The sequence below is a fragment of the Homo sapiens genome, chromosome 14 (assembly GCF_000001405.40).
Source record: "Homo sapiens chromosome 14, GRCh38.p14 Primary Assembly".
NCBI classification, from domain to species: Eukaryota; Metazoa; Chordata; class Mammalia; order Primates; family Hominidae; genus Homo; species Homo sapiens.
This window is the reverse complement of record NC_000014.9, coordinates 53,304,677-53,309,110: the sequence shown is the minus strand read 5'-3', so window position 1 is coordinate 53,309,110 and position 4,434 is coordinate 53,304,677. Positions and strand designations below refer to the sequence as shown.

The 4,434-nt window shown below is 41.3% G+C and overlaps 1 annotated feature.

The window, feature by feature from the left end:
* Positions 2,566 to 2,860: an enhancer, noted in NCBI's record as "tiled region #9489; HepG2 Activating DNase unmatched - State 4:PromP, and K562 Activating non-DNase unmatched - State 12:CtcfO". NCBI's record gives its function as "activates a minimal TATA promoter and a strong SV40 promoter by Sharpr-MPRA in HepG2 and K562 cells {active_cell/tissue: HepG2 | K562}" and the evidence as "EXISTENCE:reporter gene assay evidence [ECO:0000049][PMID:27701403]".

Below are 4,434 nucleotides of genomic sequence, written 5' to 3'. Positions count from 1 at the left end.
CATTTGTAGCAACCTGGATGGAGTTGGAGACCATTATTCTAAATGAAGTAACTCGGAAATGGAAAACCAAAAGTCACATGTTTTCATTTATAAGTGGAAGCTAAGCTATGAGGACCCAAACACCTAAGAATAAAATAATGGATTCTGGGGACTCAGGGTGAAGCGTGGGAGGGGGGTAAGGGATAAAAGACTACAAATAGGGTGCAGTGTACACTGCTCAGGTGTACCAAAATCTCAGAATCACCACTGAAGAACTTTTCCATGCAACCAAACACCACCTGTTCCCCAAAAAAAACTATTGAAATTAATTAAATAAATAAATAAATAAATACCTATAGAAGCCCTAAAAACTAAAAGGTTACAAGACTACTACTTCCCATATATACAATGTTAACACATAAAATCGGTATAAAGAAATTAATAAAGGTAATTTTTCTCAGAATGACCATTTTGATAAGTTTTTTCATATATCAAATTATTTCCAAAATATTTTTGGTACCACTGCTTGAGTACAGGCTTAATCTGCCTACTTGATAACCCAATATTATATATACAGGTAGGCAGATGAATGAAAAGAATGAAAAAAGAGGTAGATGAGAGATAGACATATAGATGAATAGGGGCTATATTTTAACTGCTCACATAATATTTCAAAGTCTATTTAAATGAAGATACGAGATTAATTAGAATGTTATCTATATTCCTCAAAAATGACTCTTCTTCTTGCAAAGGTAGATTATGGTATTCTAAAACTTAAAAGGACTACAGAAATCATCATGCCAACCACTTTCCAGATGAGGAAACTTAGGCTAAAAAGATAAAAGCCAGGATCACACAGTTGGTGAGTGCCAGAATGAAACCAGATCCTAAATGTCCTGCTATCTAGCAAAGCAGTTCTCTACAATACAATCCCACCTTCCTTGATAATACTAAGTTGCTTAGCAAACAAGATCTTCATAAATGTTGCAAGGATAAATTTCCTTTCAGTCTGCCCGAAGCAAATAACCACAATTTGCTTAGTATTAGTAAAACTCAGATCATCTAGGCATTGTCACCCCTTCAAGTTGCCCTCAGAGTGGGACAGTCAACTTGGAACAAAGTTTGACTTAACACAAGTTTCCCAGGTCTGAGAAATATGGCAAGAGGTGGGATTTATTGTTGTTGTTGCTTATCAAAACAGTGAGAAATGGCATGTTAATCAGCGAAGGACAAATTGTGGCTGTCATTTCCTTTTTCTCTAAAAGGTAAATATGTATAGACTGCAAATCATGTCCAGGAGAACTTATTTCTCACATCCCCATCCATCAGTTTGCTCTCAACTGCTCTCAACAAAGTGAGGAACCAGCTTTAAAATAGCTCTGAAATGGAAGGCTACTCTAGGTATGAAATATCCCATGGACCAAACCCAATAATCTCACTTCTCTTGAGTGCTCTCTTATTCTGACATCCAGCATGGTCACAAATAGCTTTTAAAACTGGACCAGGTACAGAAACCAGTCAAAGAAAATAAGAGGATAAAATTTGGAGAAGCCCGTCATGGATTTTAGCTTCCAAGCATATCACCAAAACTGTAATGTTCAACAACTTAAGCAGACATTCTCAGTGACTTCAGTTGACTTCAATGAATTCTGTTTCAGTCCATTTACCACAAAACAGTATGCCAAGGAAGGGACCCCACAGAGAGGAACTTCTCCTATCTAGTCATACCCTACCAACTCAGGTCTGAGGTCCTGATACTAAAAAGCTAAGTAACAAAGAAAATAATTTTTGTGCCTCTGAAGCCATTTTTCGAGGTGAGATGTTTCGCTCCTAGCCAAGCAAAGCTGCAGAATCTGTAGAATGTTGTCTTGCTCCCTCCTTGTCACCAGCCTGCCCTTTAACCCACCACTGAATGCCCTTTTTCTGCTCCAAGACAGCTATTGAATCACCACATTATACTCCCTGACCCTGCGGGGCCATGGTACAATATCAGAATGTCAAACTGGGTCTGAAAAGGGCTTTGTGTGGGATGAGACAAGACTCTAAGGATAGTAGAGCTGCTGAATCACTCAGGATCTGACCACAAATAGTGCTACGCTAAGCTTGCTGGGTAAAACTGCTGCCAGAAGCCCCTGTTAAATTTCTGGGCTAATTATGGAGGGTGGGAGGGTGACCTTGGAGGCAAGTTGTACTTAACACAGAGACCAGGAAGCCTAAGGGAAGAAACCCAAGTTGTACATCCTCATAAATACAATTTAAAATTCTCTAATTTAATAAAAGCATGCGATCCTACGACAAGGTAGTTTTCCTTAGGAGCAGGTGCACTGCAATTTTTTTTTTAATTTTCATATTAAATCTTCAGAGAGTTACACGGTAGATGGCAGCCTGGAAATACGCTGATGTATCCTGGCAGAATTTCAGACATAATGATTTTTTTTTCCTCTGTAAATCTTCCATCAGTGGGAAGGAAAGCCCTGCCAAAACTGAGAAACCCAAGCTGGAGGCAGCGAGGCTCCCACTCAGAGCACGGCGACATGCCAAGGCTTTCAAGGCCAAATCGGAAACAACCACGTTGAGTTCATTAAAACGACTGAATGATCAAAGTCATGCAAGCCTTCACAAAGGCAAAAATTAATCTGTTTAATACTTGGCTAAATTCTCAAGTGCTAAAGTAAATTTGAAACGAAATTCATCAAACTCCCCCTCTTCCTGTGGAAAAATCCTTTGAGTTCCTCAGAGTGCCCAGCAGATGGCAGAAGCGGTCTTTGTTTCAATCCATGGGCCTCAGCTACCGCGCCATGCCCAAAATTAACGGGAATAGGTACACCTGGGTATAGTTGTATATCTGAATGTGAAAATACACTTTCAGGATATCAGGAATTATATTCCAGTATGGCTAGGGTTATTCTCAGTTATCAATCTCGAGGGAGGAAACGTCCCCAGGAAGTGGTACCAAAAGATGACTCTTGCACATCAATGAAAAGGCCTGTGGAAGGACGACAGTCCAACTACTGGAACCCTGTTTTTATATCTCTCAGGAGCCTCCCACCATGCCCACCCCTCATCTCCCTCCCATTTCCTACTCCTTAAAGACTTGCATACACATTCCTGAGTCTTCAGCAACCTGTGTCCTCGCCACCCAGGTGAAGAAGCTGGGTATGTGCAGGATATTCCCTACTGCAACAATGCCTCCTCAGCCTGCCTCCTCTGCCCAGGTCAGCCTCCACAACCAGAGGTTCTGGGAATTAGGTTCCACTGTCCTGAGCATTATGAATATTGATTCCTGTTGGACAAACTGCAGCTAGTCTAGGATCTCAGATTCCTCCATTTCCCGGGAGGGCAACATATAAAATATTAATACATTTCATCATGAGAAACAAAACTCATTAAAACTACATACATATTCATGAAAATTCTTTCACTGTTTATTTCATGAAATGAAAACATTTTTTCCAACCAGATCAAGGGAGGGAAGAAAATGTTTTCTATAGGTCCAATTTTATACACTCTGGTATGAAATGAATCAATAGTAGCTAGGAGGAGAAAAATCAAAGATTTCCTTTTCAACAGCAATAAATCCAGTCAAATCCTATTTGGTATGGCACTTGCCATAGCTTGTAAAATCTGAAGTTGCTAAATTATGTATTTCAATAGTAATTCCTTACAAATTAATAGGAAGTGCTAAATTAGGACAAGTGGCCTCCAATTGGATCCAGATGCTCAATCCTAGACTAGGTAGAAAGTGTGAAAAATTAGGAACTGTACTGATTCTTTCTCTGAGTTTGTTGAAGGAGCCAAGTTCTTCCAGCATGGAATGTAAACACTTGGGAAGGTAGCCTAAGAGAAGCATGTGTTACGTGGCAGCCTGAGTCCCAGCTGTGTTTACACTGAGATTCCAAAATATCTGAGCCTGGAAGGACAGCTGTGGTGTAAGGAGGAACAGAGGAGCCTCCTGGGACAGAATGACCCCAAAGGGAAAGAGAGAAGCTGGTTCAAAACCAATGGGCCAGGGTTCAAGGGGTGGTGTGGTCATTAACAAAGCAGGGTGACCATCGCTCAGCTTATCCAGGAGACTCACATCCAAGTCCCAAGGGTGATGATGGAGAAAATGCTGAAACCTGTTGACATTATTGGCCCCCCTCATGCTGCTGGCTGTGTTGATGGTGGTGGAAACAATAAAAACAGCACTGGCCTTGGGCAGCCGTAGGGCTGACATCACCATCCTCAATCTTGGAGACTGGCAGCATCCACAGAGAGAGGGTGCCTTTGGGAGGCATCTGTGACACTGCTGCTGCATCTGCCATTCATGAAGAAGAGGCCCCAGCTGCAAATGAAGCCAGCATTTAATGACCCAGTATCAGAAGAAGAAAAATCACAGACCTCCTGCTGTGACAAAAACAACTAGTTCTCAGAGAACTGGCTGCGGTAGTGGAATAAAGACCCCCCAAAGATGCC